The sequence below is a fragment of the Homo sapiens genome, chromosome 5 (assembly GCF_000001405.40).
Source record: "Homo sapiens chromosome 5, GRCh38.p14 Primary Assembly".
Classification (NCBI taxonomy): domain Eukaryota; kingdom Metazoa; phylum Chordata; class Mammalia; order Primates; family Hominidae; genus Homo; species Homo sapiens.
In genome coordinates, this window is record NC_000005.10 from 10,277,207 (window position 1) to 10,298,389 (window position 21,183).

Genomic DNA, 21,183 nt, shown 5'->3' on the forward strand with positions numbered 1-21,183 from the left:
TCAGCTTCCCAAGTAGCTGGGATTACAGGTGCCCACCACCATGCCTAGCTAATTTTTGAATTTTTAGTGGAGATGGGGTTTCACCATGTTGGCCAGGCTGATCTTGAACTTCTGACCTCAAATGATCAGTCCACCTCAGACTCCCAAAGTGCTGGGATTACAGGCATGAGCCACTGTGCCTGGCCAAATCAAGTACTTCTGATGAAAAGTTAGCATCCAAATGGAGATATGTGTAAGCAGAAAATACACACCAGATGTCAAAGATAGAGGAACAAAAAAAAAAAAATACAAAATATCTCACTCATGATTCGTTACATTGATTACACACTGATGGAACATTTGTGATAAATTGGGCTAAAATGCATTATTAAAATTAATTTCACTTGTGTCTCTTTCCTTTTTTTAATGGGGCTATAAGAAAATTTAAAATTACATACATGGGGAAAAAAGCTAAAGTTGCCATTTTTTCCCTTTACCTTCATTTATCTGTTTGTCTAATAGTCACTGAAGAACATATCTTTTTAAAGAAGTACGTGTGTGACTTACATTATACTTCTATCTGCAGTGCTGGTTCAGAACACCATGACATTTGACCAAAGGACTCAGCAGAGGGAAGGCTGCCCAGGCCCCAAGCTCACCATGAAGGATACAGCCACACCCTTGGTTCATTCTCGCACGAATTTCAGACCTCCCACCTATGTTGAAGACTCTGGCTACTGGCCACATGCTCACCGACACCGTTCCACGGCAAAAGCCCAGCACATCTCAGGGGTTTCCTGGGAGGCCGGATGAATGTGTGAGGCCTCCTGGGAGCAGCCCTCAGCAGGCAAGGGCTTTGGCCTGTTGGGGTCCACAACTAAGTGTCCACAGTAGACCAGCCCTGCTCAGGCTTGGATTCTCTCAACATTAGGCAAAGGGTCTCCCCATACCCATTTGACAGATGCAAAAACTGAGGCTCAGGAAGCTCAAGTTTGGGAATTCTTTGAATTTTATGTTTCCTGAGCATCTATTTGAATGTAAGTTGGACTTTCTCATACTAGAAGCAGGGATTAGTAACACAGTTTCCAGTTATACAACTTCTCACTGTTCCCCAAGGTGGTCGATCCAGACATCTGCCTTACAAAACCGCCTCCTGGGACCACCTTCCCATGGACAGCTGGATACCACCTGCTTGACTTGTCCCACTGACCCCCACACCCACATGGACCATGCCGATATCCTACCCACACCGACCCCTCTCAGTCACAGCGTGAGTCCCCGGGGCTCATGCCTGCTTGCTCTAAACCCCCCAGTTAGAACCTCCAGGGGAAACCTGCATAGATGACACCCTGGGCCCCAGTGAAGGCTTTGGCTCATAGCTCCCTCTCTCTCTCGTTCTCCACCTTCTGGTTGAGCCCATGTGTCCTGAATGGCTCCCCCTTTTTGCTGGCCCTGTGAAGCGTGCTGCCCTCTGTTCTCTGGATCTGTAAGCAATAAACTGCTTCTGTCATTTCTTGGGTTCTGATGAGTTGCCTCCTCTACCCCATCCTAACTTCTTTCCCGGTCAGGGCTCTCCGGGAGAGTGGCTGTCTCAGTAGGAATAAACTGGACACAGGTCAGATGAGAGCCACAAGGTCATGTGCCAGGATAAACAAGCTTCCTGCGAGAGGGACACCTGGCCACAGGTTGGACACTCAGGAATCAGGCCGTCTGTGAGGTCAAAGAAGGATCCCATGAAAGGCACATGGGAAACACCCACGACCACATCCCCAGGATCCCCGTCAGGGCAGGGCTAGAGTTTACAGCCACTCTCTCCTGAGAAGGACGTCAAGACAAAATTAGGAAAAAAACTACAACATCAAGTCACTTGCCCAAAGTCACATGTACGCACCCCGTAGGTGCAGGTGCAGAGTTTCTCACCGGCTCTCCCCTTTACGCCACCACCAGAAACACAGGAGATATTTCTGAGGTAGCCTCAGGCCCTGGGACCCAAAAATGCCAGTGCTTGGAAATCCACTGCTTAGGAGACAACAGCTGGGTGACAACTCTAGCCCACCGTTCTCTGCTATCTTTTTAAAAAAGCTGCAAATTCAAAAATTCAAAAAATTAGTTTATTAGCTTAATATAATTAGGTCAATGGAATCCTGTTTTGATCTCAATACTTCCCATATTGCAATATATAAATGTGACAAATTCAGCTGTTTTGTGGCATAGATAAGTGTCTAAGCTGGGCAGTTAGTCTACCCGTTTATAGTTCATGTTCTTCATGGCTTTGCAGCATTTGTCACTTTCTATGATGTGTTCAAAGACCAGAAAAGGCCACACTTGACCTGTCAGCTGGTCCTTGAACAGCTGTAGGTTTTTTTTTTTTTTTGAGACAGAGTCTCCCTCTGTTGTCCAGGCTGGAGTGCAGTAGCGCAACCTCGACTCACTGCAACCTCTGCCTCCAGGTTCAAGTGATTCTCCTCCTCAGACTCCTGAGTAGCTGGGATTACAGGCACATGCCACCATGCCCGGCTGATTTTTATATTTTTAGTAGAGATGGGGTTTCACCATGTTGGCCAGGCTGGTCTTGAACTCCTGACCTCAAGTGATCCACCCACCTCGGCCTCCCAAAGTGCTGGGATTACAGGCGTGAGCCACCGCACCCGGCCTGTAGGTTTTAACTAATAATTAGGGTATTACTCTATCATTCTCTATCATTCAAATTCTCCAGGTACTGACCTGGTTTTTATTTTATTTATTTATTTATTTACTTATTTATTTTTGAGACAGGGTCTCACTCTGCTGCCCAGGCTAGAGTACAGTAGTGGCACAATCTTGGCTCACTGCAGTCTCCACCTCCTGGGTTCTATTGATTCTTGTGCCTCAGCCTCCCAAGTAGCTGGGACTACAGGCGTGCACCACCACACCAGGCTAATTTTTGTATTTTTTGTAGAGATGGGGTCTCACCATGTTGGCCAGGCTGGTCTCAAACTCCTGACCTCAGGTGATCCACCCACTTTGGCCTCCCAAAGTGCTGGAATTACAGGCATGAGGCACTACACCTGGTCAGACCTTGTTTTTAAATTATGATTCGATGTACATGTCAAAAATTAAATTATTTCATGCATTACGTCCTACTGAATTTGTGTTTCAAATGAAATAATCAATTTTAGGATTCCTACACTTATTTTATAAAAGTGAAAATTAAATCAAATGATCTAACTATTTCCAAGCAAATTTTGGGATGAAAGCTATTCTAGGAAGGCTTGCCCTTGATTCTTGCTACATGTACTTGTTCAGCCACTCAATTAAATTCCTTCTGGCCTCGTCAATGTAGGGCTTGTCTGCAGGTGAGCAATCTTCTCTCTTCCGATGCACGAACCCATGAGTCTGCCCAGAAAATGTTTTAATTTGATATTCAACTTTGCAGTGTTCTTTCAACTTCTGAGTCAGCAAAGATACCTGGTGTGCAAAAGATTTCATGATTTTAACCCTTTAGTGATACTTTCCATTCTCCAAATCTTTAGTGAGCGTTCATAACAGAAATTTAACATCAATGCTTTAAATCAGAAACAAGTTCCACAGTTACACTGAATTCTTTCCCACTAATTTTTTTCTTTTTAGACAGGGTCTCACTCTGTTGCCCAGGTTGGAGTTCAGTGGCGCCATCTCAGCTCACTGCAACCTCTGCCTCCCACATTCAAGTGATTCTCCTGCCTCAGCCTCCGGAGAAGCCGGGATGACAGGCACCCGCCACCATGCCCAGCTAATTTTTGTATTTTTAGTAGAGACAGGGTTTCACCATGTTGACCAGGCTAGTCTCAAACTCCTGACCTCAAGTGATCTGCCTGCCTCTGCCTCCCAATGTGTTGGGATTACAGGCGTGAGCCACGGCGCCCGGCCTCTACTGCTAATTTTATAACTAACACAGTCCTTATGTCTGGCAAAGGAGAGATTTCAGGGAAATGGAAAAATGATACATCTATTATTTGAAATCACTTGCATTAATATATTAGTTACTAATATTATAACAATAATTTCTAAATGACTGCTTTTTTTTCTTAAGAGTCAGGGTCTCACTCTGTCACCCAGGCTGGAGTGCGGTGGCACAATCGTGGCTCACTGCAGCCTCCAACTCCTGTGCTCAGGCAATCTTCCTGCCTCAGGCTCCCAAATAGCTGGGACTACAGATGTGTGCCACCATCCCAGCTAATTTTTTTATATTTTTGTGGAGAAGGGATCTAGCTAGACTGCCTAGCCTGGTCTTAAACTCTCAGCCTCAATCAATCCTCCCACCTCAGCCTTCTGAGTTTCTGGAATTACAGGCATGAGCCACCACGCCCAGCTAAATGACTGCTTTTGAACCATACTTTTCTTCTGCTTTTTCCTTATCAACTGACTTTGTTTAATAAATCCTTGTCTTTAAGGTCACAGACTTTATTGTAATTTGTGGGTTAGCATGGAGGTGGGGCAAGAGGTCCCGTTTCTCCACCAGGTAACCAGGCCATGCTGAGAATACTTCCCTCAGACATTTCCTTAAGCATGTTTTGGGAAGGTTATACTTCCACACTGGAATTATATAAGTGGAATTGAATAAAACCCATCTTTAAAATGTTAATGTTGGAAATATTTGGAGCAACAAATGCATCCTTCAAGACTTCCCACTCCCCGCAGAATGTCAAACCGTGCTATTAAATATATAAATGAGGCCAGGCGTGGTGGCTCACACCCATAATCCCATCACTTTGGGAGGCCAAGGCAGGCAGATCACCTGAAGTCAGGAGTTCAAGACCAGCCTGGTCAACATGGTGAAACCCCGTCTCTACTAAAAATACAAAAATTACCCAGGTGCGGTGGTGGGCGCCTGTAGTCCCAGCTACTCGGGAGGCTGAGGCACAAGAATGGCTTGAACCTGGGAGGTGGAGGTTGCAGTGAGCCGAGATCGCGCCACTGCATTCCAGCCTGGGCGACAGAGCGAGACTCCATCTCAAATAAATAAATACGAAGAGAAAAGATGCCAACTTACGTCCTTGAGTGGAATCACAACATCATTTTCAGCAAAAATGAACAAAGTGGGGTTCTTTAAATTGTAAATGTCTTCAGAATCCTTGACAATGCCTGAAAAACAAGCACAGAGGCATGATGTCTGATCCCCACACTCATGCCACATGATCCCCACACCCATGCCGCATGATCCCCACACTCATGCCACAGAAAACTGCAACATTTGGGTTTGATTTTTCAAAGTAAAATCTCTGCTTTGCGGACTTTATTTTCTTTTTTAGCCATTCCACAGAAGTGGCCCCACTTGTAAGATTAGCGTAAAAGAAGGCCGGGCGCGGTGGCTCACGCCTGTAATCCCAGCACTTCGAGAGGCTGAGGCAGGTGGATGGCTTGGGCTCAGGAGTTTGAGAGCAGCCTGGGTAACATCGCAAAACCCTGTCTCTACAAAAAATACAAACATAAGCCGGGTGTGGTGGTGCATGCCTGTAGTCTCAGCTACTTGCGGGGACTAAGGTGGGCGGATTGCTTGAGCCTGGAAAGTTGAGGCTGCAGTGAGCCGTTTGTGCCACTGCACTCCAGCTTGGGCAACAAAGTGAGACCCCGTCAAAACAAAACAAACAAACAAAAAACCCAAAGCCTGGGCGCAGTGACTCAAGCCTGTAATCCCAGCACTTTGGGAGGTCGAGGAGGGCGGATCATGAGGTCAGGAGTCCGAGACTAGCCTGGCCAACATGGTGAAACCCTGTCTCTACTAAAAATACAAAAATTAGCTAGGTGTGGTGGCACGCGCCTGCAATCTCAGCTACTCGGGAGGCTGAGGCAGGAGAATGGCTTGAACCCGGGAGGTGGAGGTTGCAGTGAGCCAAGATCATGCCATTGCACTCCAGCTCTGGGCAACAGAGCAAGACTCCGTCTCAGAAAAAAAAAAAAAAAGAGGATTATAAGAGTACAAGAGAAATTTATTTAGTCAGATCCTCCTACTGTCTACCTCCCCACTTTATGGACTGGGAATCAGGCCATTAAATAATTGAATGATACCTCGTCCGCTGCTTAGTATGGAAAGATGCGGAGCAGCCTGAGGAATGTCCCGCTGGGATGTACCTTCGTTTACAAAGAGGATCAATGTCAAACCTTCGCTTGAGAAGTTTCTCAGGTCTACACAAGTCCCACGGGTTCTGGCTTGAATGCACTGAGTAGTTTTGTTGGTAAGAGGAGCTGTCTTTTGAGTGGGTATTTAGACTCGCACCAGACCACGAGTGTGGAAGTGTGGAAGTGTGAAACTGCCTGGGCCTAGCAGGTCAGTCTATAAAAATCAGTTTTTGGCCGGGCGAGGTGGCTCACACCTGTAATCCCAGCACTTTGGGAGGCCAAGGCGGGGTGGATCACTTGAGGTCAGGAGTTCGAGACCAGCCTGGCCACCCACGCAAAACCTTGTCTCTACTAAAAATACAAAATTAGCTGGGTGTTGTAGCCCCAGCTACTCAGGAGGCTGAGACAGGAGAATTGCTTGGACCCAGGAGGTGGAGGTTCAGTGAGCCAAGATCGTGCCACTGCACTCCAGCCTGGGTGACAGAACAAGATGCTGTCTCAAAAAATAATAACAATAGTTTTCATCTTTCATCTCAGCATTCATTCGAGATTAATTCTGAAATTAGAAGCATGCTCTGCCTGACCCAGGTTGTCTGAAAACAACCTGTGGGTGTGTCCACTTCTATGCGAAAATAAGTAAGTAAAAGATTTGCAGCAAGTTAACCATTTTAAGATAAGAAGACGTAAATAACATAACTTTTTTCCACTTCCTGCTGGCAGCAGAAGAGCTAAGTAACAGAGAGAGCCTCCTTCACCTGTAACTCCTCTTCAGGAGGCAGGGAGCCACGGGAAAGGTGACCACGCTCCCTTCCCCACTCTAGCAAAGCTACTTCATGTGGATGGGCCTCTTTTGATATCCCTGGGCCTGAGCCCGGCCACGCTCTGCAGCTCACGCACTACACAACAGCGGCCAGAAGGTGGCGCCGGGGAGGCATCCACTCCCGACCGCCTTTTGCTAAATCGCGCAAAAGCATGGTCTGGACAAAGCATCTCTCAGCTCCATTGTTCCCAGAGGCAGCTGGCCACTGCCTTTTGAGTTTATGTCCTTTTGTGTTGTCCTAAGTCAATATTTAAAGGCGTTTTTAACTCTAAAAGTAGTTGAAAATACCACAATGAGGAACCATTAACCCAAGAAGGAATCATTAGTATAACTTTATGATCCACTTCAGATGGTCCCAGGCCTAACGATGGTTCCACTTTCATTTTTTGACTTTACAATGGTGCACAAGCGACACTCATTCAGTAGAAACTGTTCCCCAAGTACCCAGACAACCATTCTGTTTTTCACTTTCAGTACAGAATTCAATAAACTGCATGAGACATTCAAGACTTTATTATAAAATAGGCCTTGCGTTAGATGATTTTGCCCAACTGTAGCCTGATGCAGGTGTTTCGGGTCGGCCAGGTGAGGCTATGATGCTTGGTAGGTGAGGTGGATTAAATGCATTTTCGACTTGAGATATTTTCCATTTATGATGGGTTTATCAAGACTTAGCCCCATTGTAAGTAGAGGAGCATCTGCATTATTTTTAAAGGCTATATTTCCTATGTGTCTTTTTTGTTTTCGTTTATCTATTGGTCTGAATGCTTCTATATCATGAATTTAGCAAGCAGTTTCTATATACAGATATAATGTTATTTCATTGCTGTAGTAACTTTGGTTTGTTTTGGCCAAAAATGTATAAATTGCTATTTCGATTTTAGAGTGTGTTTTCCTTGGCTTTCTTTCCTTTTTTTTTTTTATTTTTTATTTTAAGAGACAAGGTCTCACTCCCTGTCATCCAGGTTGGAGTGCAGTGGTGCATTCACAGCTCACTGCAGCCTCAAACTTCTGGGCTCAAGTGATTCTCCTGCCTCAGCCTCCTGAGAGGCTGGGACCACAGGCATGTGCCAGTACACCCAAGTAATTTTTTTCTTTTTCTTTTGACAGAGTCTCACTCTGTTGCCTGGGTTGGAGTGCAGTGGCACAATCTTGGTTCACAGCAACCTCCACCTCCCGGGTTCAAGCGATTCTCCTGCCTCAGCCTCCTGAATATCTGGGACTACAGGCGCCCACCACCACGCCCAGCTAATTTTTGTATTTTTAGTAGAGACGGGGTTTCACCATATTGGCCAGGCTGGTCTCGAACTATTGACCTCATGAGCCACCCACCTCGGCCTCCCAAAGTGCTGGGATTATAGGCGTGAGCCACCACGCCCAGCCTTAAAATTTTTTATAGAGACAAGGTCTCTCTATGTTGCTTAGGCTGGTCTCGAACTCCTGGGCTCAAGCCATCTGCCCATCTTGGACTCCCAAAGTGCTAGGATTACAGGCGTGAGTCATCGCATCTGGCTGCCTTTGCTTTCTTTCTTAGTGTGTGTGCATGTTTGTGTACAGTTAGAGCAATTTGTATCTTGGAAAAATCAGTCTTTCTTTCTTTCTTTCTCTTTCTTTTTCTTTTTTTTTTTTTTTGAGACAGGGTCTTGCTCTGTCACCCAGGCTGGAGTGCAGCGGCATGATCATGGCTCACTGCAGCCTTGACCTTCTTGGGCTCAAGCGATTTTCCCACCTCAGCCTCCGGAGTAGCTAGGACTACAGGTGCACGTGACCACGCCCAGCTAATTTTTGTATTTTTTGTAGAGACAGGGTTTTGCCATGTTGTCCAGGCTGGTCTCGAACTCCTGAGCTCAAGTGATCTGCCTGCCTAAGCCTCCCAAAGTGTTGGGATTACAGGCATTAGCCACCACCAGAAAAATATTTTCATAGATGTTGCTCATAAAAATCTTGTGTGATATTGATCATCATTACATTAAAAAAACAAAAAAAGCTATCCCCTTCATCCTAGGTGAAGAAATGGAGAATTTAGATTAGGTGGCTTTCCCAAAGTCACACCACTGGGACCCAGACCTCTTGACTCCCGGTGACATCCTCTGGTTAACTGCATGACAAACCTCCACCTCTATTTTCAGATTCTTAAAACCCATTTCCATAAGATGGGCAGTCTTCACATTATTGGGGGTTGTGTTACACTGGATGGGGAGGCTTGTGATTGTTGTCACTCTTCCACCCCTCCCTTCTGCATGGAGTAAAAATGCACAAGGCAGATTTACCATAGACGGACACCCCTGCCCTGAATTCTGAGTATTTCATCATCAAATGATGGACAGCAGTTCCACCCCAGCAGAATCCCACGATGCCAATTTTCTGGGCATGACACTGTTGTTTCAGATACTTCAAGATAGCACTGATCTCTCTAGAACAGAAAGAAAAAATATTCAAGAATCAGGCTTATTTTGTGAACCCCTCAAAGAGCTGTGCTGATGATAACAGGGCTGTATCAGCAACTGTTTTTGAAGTTGCCAAGGTTTCTTCTTTTGGGAGCTCCACCCTTACTACCTCTGGCCCAACTGATGCATCATCCCAGCACATCTTCCTGCCAAGCCCAGCCCTCCTCCAACTGCCTGACAGCTGCAGGCAAGCTGGGCTCTTCCCAAAACATAGGTCCAACTGCCTCACTCCCAGCTGAGAGCTGAGCAGTCTTCCACAGCCTGGGGATGAAGGCCACAGCCCACAGCACGGTTCGTAAGACCCGAGTCCATGATCTGCTCCCTGCAGAGTGCCCCAGTCTTCTCTGTCCCCTGAGTCTCCCAGGAGAAGAGTCTCCTCTCTCCTCTCTCCCATGAGCAGCCATAACTATGGGCAGACGCCCAGACACTCTCTGACTTCACACGTTCACTCTCTCCCCAAAACTCCCCACTCTGCATTGCTCGTCTCCTCCCCCTGCCGCCCAGTGAAGCCAAATTTGGAACGCCATCAGGACTATTTCAGCCATGAGGGGACCAAGAATAGTGGCCCTTGTCTGGCAAATGATTCATGTGCAAACTGATTGTTTGGAACTCAGAATACATTTTCAACTAGAAGCAATGTACCAAAGTGGAGGTGGGCTGCACACGTATGTTTATTGTAGCACGATTGCAAAGATATGCAACCGAAGCGCCCATTGACCAATGAGTGGATAAAGAAAATGTGGCCTATATACACCATAGACTATACTCAGCCATAAGAAAGAACAAAATAATATCTTTTGCAGCAACTTGGATGGAGCTGGAGGTCATTTCTCTAAGGGAAGTAACTCAGGAATGGAAAACCAAATACTGTATGTTCTCACTTATAAGTGGAAGCTAAGCTATGAGTAGATTCACAGAGGCACATAGAGTGATATAATGGACTATGGAGACTCAGAAGGGGGAGGGTGGGAGGGTGTGAGGGCCAAAAAACTATATATTAGGTAAACTGTACACTACTCGGTGACAGATGCACTAAAATCTCTATTTTCATAGATGGTGCTCATAAAAATATTGTTTGATATTGATCATCATCACATAAAGAATGCTATCCCCGCTGGGTGCAGTGGCTCACGCCTATAGTGAGACCCCATCTCTATTTTATTTTAAAATTTTTAATTAATTAATTTCTTTTTTTTTTGAGATGGAGTCTCGCTCTGTCCCCCAGGCTGGAGTGCAGTGGTGCCATCTTGGCTCACTGCAATCTCCGTCTCCCAGGTTCAAGCAATTCTCATGCCTCAGCCTCCCAAGTAGCTGGGACTACAGGCGTGCGTCATGACACCCAGCTAAGTTTTTGGTTTGTTTGTTTGTTTTTTGTATTTTTAGTAGAGGCAGGTTTCACCATGTTGGCCAGGCTGGTCTCAAACTCCTGATCTCAAGTGATCAGCCAGCCTCAGCCTGCCAAAGTGCTGGGATTACGGGTGTGAGCCACCATGCCCGGCCTAAAAATTTTAATTACAAAAAAAATCCCAGCACTTGAGACCAGCCTGGCCAACATGGTGAAACCCCGTCTCTACTAAAAATACAAAAATTAGCCGGGCTGGTGGCAGGCGCCTGTAATCCCAGCTACTCGGGAGGCTGAGGCAGGAGAATTGCTTGAACCTGGGAAGCACAGGTTGCAGTGAGCCGAGATCATGCCACTGCTCTCCAGCCTGGGCTCCAACAGAGCAAAAACAAAAAAAAATTTTTTCTCCTTTGTGCCAGGGGAAGGATTCCATTGGCCATGGAGAAGTCCTACCCCAAGGTAAGGAGTAGTGTCTGAAAGGTGAAGCCCACCCAGCTCTCACCTCCCTGGGCCACAACGTGCACATGGCCACGTCTGCGGATAACTCACCTATCGATCTTCTGGGCATTTCTTGTTTTCAGCCACTCAGGGAAGATAGACCAGTCGCCAGAGGGGTCCCAAGGCTCTTGCCCTACAAAGAAGTCTGGAACAATGGTTCTGCAAAATATGGACATGAATTGATCTTAGTTTCAGAGTTGCTTGACTCAGTATTTTGCTTGCATTTATTTAAAAACTTGCTACGTTGGCGATTCTGGCTCAGAGAAAAGGAAAAGTAGTGGGTGTGAAGGCCAATTTTGATCGCAGCAAAGCAGCCACCTGGCACCGGGCCAAGCCCTCTTAGGTTTCACAACCGCAGGTGCACAGCGTCTGGCAGCCTGCTGGTAACCCAGCCCTGGCAATGAGGCTATCCACAGGGCACACTCCCATGGGATAGGCTGGCATGGGATGTGGAGGCACCTGGGGGAGTGGGCCTGACGTGGGTGGCTTTGAGGGCCCCTCCTGCCCCTCTCAGCCAGCCTGGGGAGACTCCTGGCCTTTCACATGAGCCTCAGGCCAGAGGGCACACCTGGCTAACTTGTCCAGTCACTATGACCAGGCAATGTTCCCAGCCTCCACCAAGACGGCGACGAAGCACAGTTTCCTATCCAGAGGGTATGTTCTAAGACGGGCAGCAGAGCACAAACAAGCCTGGCCCCAGTCCAGGTCGCTCTTCCATGCAAGTCAACCCAGAGGGATAGAGCCAGCCGCTGGGGTTGAGTCCTGTTTCCCAAAATAGAATTGCCACCTGGTTGGAGGAACAGGGCTCCTCCTATAGGGGTAGAAGAACACTGAAACTGGAGTGAGAAAATCCAAGTTCGAGGCTCGGTACACCCCATGCTGCTGTGTGGCCTTGGCCTTCACAAGTCATGTCACCGCTTCTAGCCTCATTTTCTCATCTGACAAACTTGCACTGCCTAACCCCAGAGGATCCTCTCGAGGGCAAAAAAAGTTGTATACCTGTGAAAGGGCTTTGTAAAACAGGGGTCTTTCCTTATCTTTTATGTCCTGACCCCTGCTAAAGGACCCTCCGTGAAACAACAGAAACAGCAATGCCATTTGATCGGCTGCTTGGGCCAGTGATCTGGGGCAGCCGCAAAGCGCTCTCTTTATGGCCTGGTTTCCTAATCTGCAAAATGAGAGCAATAACAGCTCCTCCCTCAAGGGGCTGCCAGGAGGACTAAGGGCAATGAGCCCAGTCATGCCCTCAGCACTGCGTCTGGCTGAGCAACTGAAACTAGCTATTTATTTACTTATTTATTTTTACTGGGCTTGCCCCTAGAAAGTTAAGTCCCCTCACATGGGGACGTGAAAAAGGAAAACTTCAAGGAAGGTCTTTTCATTCAGCACCGACTCTGCATCCCACCAGGGTGGGCATGATTCCTTTAAGCCAGTTTCTCTTCCTAGAAAAACAAGGTAGGCTCATCCTCGGGTTTCCAGCTTCTCCTTCTGTGAAAACAAAGGAAATCCAGCCGTGCACCATCCTCAGGGCTCACTGGGTTGATGCTTTCCGACGCTGGAGAGGAAGGAAGGTTCTGGCCCTCCTCTGCGCTTTACACCGGGGCAAATAAGAAGCAATCGGGTATCAGCCTTGGCCAAAGGTGGCCATGGCCACTTGGCCAGACAAAGAGGTAAACTTGGGGAGGGGAGCAAGGTCTCACTGTGCCACTTCTGAACCCCAGTCTAATTCAGAGGGGGCCACGACCGTACGTGTATGGACCAGGAGGAGCCTTGGACACCCTGCCGTCCAAATGGGCCGTGAAATCTGACACGAGGCTGAGCTGTTGAAGGACCGAGTCACGGGTCCATTTGACAGCAGGTGAGGCTGGCCTCAGATGTCCAGTGCCTGCGTCTGGCTGAGGCCCCACACGGGAAAAGAATTCTCAATGTCCAGCAAGTCTAAAGGCCAGGTACTCCCAGGAGGACAGGAAACCCAGGAATGGGGTTAGGAGCACCAGGTGGGTGTTTAATTTCCCAAGACATTTCCCATCTATCTTCACGGCAGTGAGATAGGGAAGTTTCTAATGTACAGTAGATACTGTATAGTCAGACCGCTGTGGTTTTATTTTTTAAAGGGAACAAAATAAACCACTGAAATTTGTATGAATTTAAACAAAGAAACACAACTTTATACATACGTGTATCCATTTCCTGAGATCATGTCAGCTATATATCTGGTATTGGGCAACTGCCAGCCAAATATATCTTGAATGACAATCACAGCTTTGCCTGCATCAACGGGGGATTTGGTGACATAAGCCTTGATGTGCTCGACTTGAACTTCACGGCCTAGCCCTCCATACTCAAGTCTGTGGCCAATGTCACACGGACAAGGATAAGCTTCGTTAGCCATTGCAGAGATTTAAGTCGGGCTATGGAGAGAGAAACATGCGTTATATTCTGAATGCTGCAAATCTAAAGGCTATAAATGGTAAGTAAACCTCAAATCAAGATTATAGAAAAAAATTCATTTTAGCTACATCTATGGTATTATGTGAGAAACCAATGGTAACTTCTGGTTCTGGCAACACTGCAGAGTAAGGCTATAGACACTAGAAATGCCGGATTGAATAACAACAAAACAACAAAAAATAGCGATGAAAGAACTCACAGGGAAAAGGGACTCTTCAGGGGGCAGGATCGGAGAGGAAACAGAAAGCCAGAGTGAGGGTGACACCCACAGATGCTGACGGGGCCCAGTGATGCTGGGGGACAGGACCCGACTCAGGAGCACACCCTAACAGTCGGGTGCTTAGGATTTTGTGTCGACGTGTAGAAAGAGCCATCGAAGCACATGAGACGGGAATTTGTAAGAGACCCACGCCTGCAATGTCGAGCCCCAAAGGTTCATGTCTCACGGAAGGGGGCCAAAGCAAAAGGAGAAGAGCTCCATCCGCCAGGCTCAGGTGTGTGCGAAGAAACCCATCTCCGTCTAGATTCTGAGTGGAAGGGAAAAAAGAAAGCAATCCTCGGCCGGGCGCGGTGGCTCACGCCTGTAATCCCAGCACTTTGGGAGGCCGAGGCGGGCGGATCACGAGGTCAGGAGATCGAGACCATCCTGGCTAACACGGTGAAACCCCGTCTCTACTAAAAAACAAAAAATTAGCCGGGCGTGGTGGTGGGCGCCTGTAGTCCCAGCTACTCGGGAGGCTGAGGCAGGAGAATGGCGTGAACCCGGGAGGCGGAGCTTGCAGTGAGCCGAGATCGCGCCACTGCACTCCAGCCTGGGGGACAGAGCGAGACGCCGTCTCAAAAACAAAAAAAAAAAGAAAAGAAAAGAAAAAGAAAGCAATCCTCAAATGTATACCATGCTTGCAAAGTAGGAATACCTGGCTGAGAAATTAACACAATTGACTCTGGGCCAGTGAACTGCCTGGAACACCAGGCAGAGGCAAATGCAAATCCACTTTACCACAAGACTTCCACAATCCAGGCCAAAAATACGACCCGCTGAAGAGCAGCTCATCAGGAAAACCTATACACAAGGAGGCGATCCAAATAAACAAGAATCAGCAGACACAACACCCTGGAGGAATTTACAGTGGGAATGGGGTTTGAAATTCACCTAGAAACACTTGGTGAATCAAACTGGAAAACAGGAAGGAATTAGGAAATTAAAAACCTGTTCATTAAAAAGCAGGAAATGAGGCGGCGAAAGTGGGAGTAGTAGAACAAGGAATTTGATTTGTAAATGACTGTGAACAATCAACTGAGATAACTCACCGCCATCAGGCCTGCCTAAATTTAAATAAATGGAAACAGATTAAACTCACTAGCTGAGACAGATTCTCAACTTGGATTTTTTTTTGTTTTGTTTTTTGAGACAGGATCTTGCCCCGGCTGGAGTGCAGTGTCACAAACGGCTCACTGCAGCCTCGACCTCCTCCCTGGGCTCAACTAATCCTCCCACCTTAGCCTCCCAAGTAGCTGGGACTATGGCACACACCACCACAATCAGCTCCTTTTTTTAGAATAAAAATTTTATACAGACAAGGTCTCATTATATTGTCCAGGTTGGTCTCAAACTCCTAGGCTCAAGCAATCATCCCACCTCACACTCCCAAAGTGCTAGGATTACAGGTGTGACCCATCATGCCTGGTTCAAATTAGACTTTTTAAAAATTAAGGTTCCGGACCAGGCATGGTGGCTCACGCCTGTAATCCCAGCACTTTGGGAGGCCAAGGCAGGTGGATCACAAGTTCAGGAGCTCAAGACCAGCCTGGCCAATATGGTGAAACCCCCGTCTCTACTAAAAATACAAAAGTTAGCCGGGTGTGGTGGCAGGCGCCTGTAGTCCCAGCTACTTGGGAGGCTAAGGCAGGAGAATCGCTCGAACTCGGGAGGTGGAGGTTGCAGTGAGCCGAGATTGCGCCATTGCACTCCAGCCTGGGCAACAAGAGCGAGGCTCTGTCTCACAAAAAAAAAAAAAAAAAAATTAAGGTTCCATCAAAAAAGAGGAACTAGGAACACTAAACCCAAAGACATATGTAATTCCCTTCATGAACAACTGGAGAACACAGTCTTTACAAGCAGATGTGAACTGCCTGCATATTAACCCACAATCAAAGTTTCAGTAAAGATTTTATATAACAAATGCTATACAAATACAACGAAGAAATTATAATAAAACTCAAAAGATTTAGAACTGGATTACCATGTTACCATGAAAACACTACATAGCAAAACTTGATACAATCAATACAGCAGTAATTAGAGACATCTTTACAGCCTAGACTACATATACTTGAACAAGAGGAAAGAATAAAAGTAAGCTAAATATCAAGAAGTTAGAAGAAAAAAATAGAATGAAGCCTTAGTCCATTCAGGCTGTTATAACAAAATACAGTAAACTGGGTAGCTCATAAATGCAGAGGTTTATTTCTTACAGTCCTGGAGGCTGGGAAGTCGCAGTTCAAGGGACTGGCAGATGCAATGTTAGGTGAGGGTCCACTTTCTGGTTCATATGTGGTGCCCTCTCCTTGTGTCCTCACGGGGTAGAAGGAACTAGCTGGCTCTCTGGGGTCTCCATTATAAGGACATTCCCTATAGTAAGAGGTCTGCCCTCAGACCTAATCATTTTCCAAAGACCCGACCTCCTGATACCATCACCTTGAGGGTTAGGATTTCAACATATGTTAAAACTAAAAAAAAGAGGTAAGAAACAAGAATAGCCACAATAACTGAAAGAAAATGAAGAAGGAGAAATTAATTTACCAAACAACAAAACCTATTAAAACAGTATGGTATTGCTGGATAGATGAATACATCAATAGAACAGACCAAAGACTCTAGAACCAGACTCATGTGTATTCATCCAGTCATCCACAGAATGTTTACTGAGGCACCACTCTGTGACAAACACTGTCGAAGGTTCTGGGGAAACAGCAGAGCATGAAACAAATAAAAATCCCTGACCTCAGGAAGCACATTCTAGTGGGATGAAATATACAAAAACAATATGCTTTTCAGATGGTAATCAATGCTAAGAAGAAAAACAGAGCAGAGAAGGAAAGAAGACAATGTTGGTTGAGGGTGTGAGTTGCAATTTACAATGGTGTATTGGGGAACAGCTTGTTGGAAAGGCACCATTTGGGCAAAGGAGGCGAGGGGTGGTGCCCTGCAGATATCTGGAGGAAGAGCGGTTGAGACAGAACAAACAGCAAGTGCAAAGGCCCTGAGGTAGAAGCATGTCTGACATGTCTGAGGAACAGCAAGACCAGTGTGGCTGCAACAGAAAGAGCAAGGGGAGAGAACAGCAGAGAATAGTGTGAGTTCCCAGAGTTTTACTGGAAGAATTTAGTTTTTCCTCAGTGTGAGATAGAAGCCACTGGAGAATTTTGGGGAAATGAGTGGCTTTATTTGACTTGATTTACAGTATCATTGGCCTGACACAGTGGCTCATGCCTGTAATCTCAATACTTTGGGAGGCTGAGGTGGGAGGATTGTTTGAGACCAGCCTGGACAACACAGCAAGACCCCATATCTGCAAAAAAAAATTCAAAACTTAACTGGGCATGGTGGCACATGCCTGTATTCCCAGCTACTCAGGAGGCTGAGGTAGGGGGATCCCTTGAGCCTGGGAGGTCGAGGCTGCAGTGAGTCATGACTATGCCATGGCACTCCAGCCTGGATGACACAGAGAGATCCTGTCTCAAAAAAAAAAAAAGGATCATTGAAGATGCTGTTTTAAGAAGAAATCATCAAGTAGCAAAGGAAGAAAAGAAAGTCCAGTTGGATGGCTCCAGCAACAATCCAGCCAAGAGATGAAGCAGCTCACACCAGGACGGTGATGGTGAGAGGGCGGGAATGGTCAAGTGTGGACAGATTTTACGGCAGAGCCACTCAGTTCTGCTGACAGATTGTATCTGTGGGGACATCAGACAAAAGGAGGAGTCCGTGATGACTACAAGGGTTCCTGCCTAAGAAACTGGAGGATGGAGTGTGTTTAAATGAGAAGGGATGTGGGAAGAGCTGGTTTGAGGAGATAAGGACTTCAGTTTGGGGCATATTAAGGCTGAGGTATCTATTACACATCCCAGAGAAAAGCTGGGTAACACGATAGAAGTTCAAGGGCCAGGGGCCCAAGCTAAAACGAAAACTTTGAGAGTGATGTGAGTATACAGCTGACCCTCATTGTTTGCAGATCCTGTATTGATGAATTCATCTACTTGCTGATTTTTTTTTTTTTTTGAGACAGAGACTCGCTCTGGTTGCCCAGGCTGGAGCGTAGTGGCATGATCTTGGCTCACTGCAACCTCCACCTTCTGGGTTCAAGCGATTCTCCTGCCTCAGCCTCCCTAATAGCTAGGATTACAGGTGCCCGCCACCATGCCTGGTTAATTTTTGTATTTTTAATAGAGACGGGGTTTCACCATGTTGGCCAGGCTGGTCTCAAACTCCTGACCTCGGGTGATCCCGCCCACCTTGGCCTCCCAAAGTGCTGGGATTACAGATGTGAGCCACTGTGCCTGGCCATACCTGCTGAATGTATTTTGTAACCTCACCGTCATTCATGGACATTCGAAAAATGTGAACTGTCAATGTCCACATTCCCAGCTGAGGACACACAGGGTGCAATAGACTGAATGTGTCCCCAAAAAGTCAGATGTTGAAACCCTAATTCCAGTGGAATGATATTTGGAGGTAGGGTCTTTGGAAGGCAAGTAGTTCACAAGTGCAGAGCCCTCAAGAATGGGATGAGTGCCTTATATAAGGGGCCCAGAGAGCTGGCTTCCCTTCTTTCTGCTGGGTGAGAACACAGCCAGAAGATGACCATCTGCAAACCAGAAACAGGCCCTCAGCAGACATTGGATCTGCCAGCGCCTCGATCTTGGACTTTCCAGCCTCCAGAACTGTGAGAAATGTTTGTTGTTGAAGCCACGTTTGTTAGAGCAGCCCAACTGCCCACAACACTCTGCTTCTCATTTGAGCTCTCACAGTGTAAACAAGTGTCCTTTGCATGGTCTTAGTGCACATTTTTGTGCTTTTTGAGGGGTTGATTTTGCTGTTTAAAAGGGCCCCGCACTTAGTGCTCACATGCTATCTAGCATTGCTAAGCACGGGAAGGCTGTGATGTGCCTTATGGAGAAAATGCGAGTATTGGAGAAGCTTTGTTCAGGCACGAGTTACAGTCCTGTTGGCCATGAGCTTCCTGTTAATGAGTCAACAATATATATTAGAATGGTATCTTCCACAAAAACACACATAAAACCAGGGTTATGTATGGGTCAACTGAGGAAACCGCTGTGACCAGGCCACAGGTTTACAGGAAGCTAACCTTGTATTTTCCCCAGGAGGAATGGTTTAGGATTTGCTAACTCAGTGTTTGTAGGGACTTTACTACTACAAATACCAAGAATGACTGTATGTGGGTTTGGTTTGTTTGTTTGAGACACAGTCTCACTCTGTCCCCTAGGCTGGAGTGCAGTGGCACAATCTCGGCTCACTACAACCTCCACCTACCAGTTTCAAGCAATTCTCCTGCCTCAGCCTCCCAAGTAGCTGGTACTACAGGCGAGCACCACCATACCTGGCTAATTTTTGTATTTTTGGTAGAGATGGGTTTTCACCATGTTGGCCAGGCTGGTCTCAAACTCCTGACCTCAGGTGATCCACTGTGCCGGGCCTGTAGGTGATATTTAAACTTTAAGAATGAATGACATCCTTCAGGGAATAATGGTGGATGAAGAAAAGAGAAATCTAGAAGACTGAGCCCTGGGGTCCTTCAACACTAACACTTCAGGGAGATGGGAAGGAATCAGCGAGTGAGGAATGAGCCTGAGAAGGAACAGCCAGTGACGGGGGAGGAAGACCCCAAGTGTGGTGTCCTGGACCCAAGTGAAGAATGGGTGTTGAGGGGAGAACAATGAATGCTGAGTGTTGCCCTCCGCGTTTGGCAAAGTGAAGGTCATTGGTGACCTCCACAAGGACAGGCTTGGACGAGGGCATGGGTGACAGCATAATCATAGTGGGCTTAAAAGAAACTGAGAGGAGACTGGGCGCGGTGGCTCACGCCTGTAATCCCAGCACTTTAAGAGGCCAAAGTGGGTGGGTTGCTTGAGGCCTGGAGTTCAAAACCAGCCTGGCCAACATGGTAAAAACCCGTCTCTACTAAAAATACAAAAATTAGCCAGGCGTGGTGGCACATGCCTATAATCCCAGCTACTTGGGACGCTGAGGCAGGAGAACTGCTTGAACCTGGGAAGCGGAGGTTGCAGTGAACCGAGATCACGCCATTGCACTGCAGCCTAGGCAATAGAGTGAGACTCCATCTCAAAAAAAAAAAAGAGAGAGAGAGAGAGAATGAGAGAGGAGAGAACTAAAGAGAGTGAACACAGAAAACTCTTAGAAGACTTTTGACAGAAAAAGGAGCAAAGAGGCCGGGCGTGGTGGCTCACACCTGTAATCCCAGCACTTTGGGAGACGGAGGCAGGTGGATCACTTGAGGTCAGGAGTTCGACACCAGCCTGACCAACATGGGGAAACCCCGTCTCTACTAAAAATACAAAAATTAGCCAGGCAGGGTGGTGGATGCCTATTATCCCAGATACTTGGGAGGCTGAGGCAGGAGAATCGCTTGAACCGGGAAGCAGAGGTTAGAGTGAGCTGAGATCGCACCATTTCACTCCAGCCCGGACAAGAAGATCGAAACTCTATCTCAAAAAAAAAAAAAAAAAAGAGCAAAGAGACTGTGCAAAAGATGGAGGGAAGACACAGGGATGAGCCTTTTTTTTTTAAAGTGGAAGAAATCTCAGCCTATTTGTACGTGGATGAGAATGATACCATAGAAAGGAAAACAAACAAAACACAATCAATGACCCCGGGAGAGAGGGAACTGGAGAGTGTGACAGGAGGGTCTGGCGCATAGCAGAGGAGCTGCCTTCTTTGGCAGCGTGGACAGTCCTCACGCACCCAAGGGAGGCTGAGGACGTGGACACAGACACAGGTGGTGGTGGGTGTGGGGCGGGAGAGTGTGGATGCTCCCTGTTGGCATCTGTTTGCTCACAGAACTGAGAAGCAGAGTCAGCAGCTCAGGGTGAGAGGCGGGACGAGGGCTGGGGAGAGGATAAGCAGGAAAACAGGGGACCAGCGAGAAGTACGTATGGCTGTTTCCTCCAGCCAGGTCCAGCAGTGGGAACAGGCGAAGAGCAGGCGCAGAGCAGGCAGAGAGAGGGGGTCAGATACAATGGGCTCTGTAGTCATGAGAGGGGGCAGGAGGGACCTGTGGGGGGAGGAGGGACTGGCCATCAATGGGGCACGGCTGCAGCACTGAGCTACCCAGGTAAGAAAACAAATCACCATGGATCCCCACATACCCCAGTGCGTGGCTAGAAATCTAAGTAGGAAAGGCGAAATTTCAACAATCAGAAGGAAATACTGAATACTTTTTTCTTGTACTTTGGAATAAGGCAGAATTTCTTAAATTTGACCCAAAAAACATAAACCATAAAGAAAAGGATTATAAATCCCATTTCATGGT

At 47.0% G+C, this 21,183-nt stretch overlaps 1 protein-coding gene across 6 annotated transcripts in view, besides 2 other annotated features; it reads right to left on the reverse strand.

The window, feature by feature from the left end:
• Positions 1 to 388: 388 nt before the first annotated feature.
• The window catches only part of CMBL (carboxymethylenebutenolidase homolog), a 30,308-nt gene continuing 9,513 nt past the window's right edge, over positions 389 to 21,183 (reverse strand). For all 6 annotated transcript variants that reach the window (NM_138809.4, XM_047416714.1, XM_047416716.1 and 3 more), the window contains 5 exons: positions 13,342 to 13,575; positions 11,216 to 11,323; positions 9,148 to 9,290; positions 4,991 to 5,082; positions 389 to 3,426 (listed from right to left, as the gene is read on the reverse strand). In NM_138809.4, coding sequence (NP_620164.1) covers positions 3,247 to 3,426; positions 4,991 to 5,082; positions 9,148 to 9,290; positions 11,216 to 11,323; positions 13,342 to 13,556 — 738 coding nt within the window. In that variant the 5' untranslated portion in view covers positions 13,557 to 13,575 and the 3' untranslated portion in view covers positions 389 to 3,246. The remainder of the gene's footprint in view (positions 3,427 to 4,990; positions 5,083 to 9,147; positions 9,291 to 11,215; positions 11,324 to 13,341; positions 13,576 to 21,183) is intronic.
• Positions 6,922 to 6,991: a silencer, noted in NCBI's record as "silent region_15917". NCBI's record gives its function as "represses an Ori minimal core promoter by ATAC-STARR-seq in GM12878 lymphoblastoid cells {active_cell/tissue: GM12878}" and the evidence as "EXISTENCE:reporter gene assay evidence [ECO:0000049][PMID:35858748]".
• Positions 7,092 to 7,221: an enhancer, noted in NCBI's record as "active region_22352". NCBI's record gives its function as "activates an Ori minimal core promoter by ATAC-STARR-seq in GM12878 lymphoblastoid cells {active_cell/tissue: GM12878}" and the evidence as "EXISTENCE:reporter gene assay evidence [ECO:0000049][PMID:35858748]".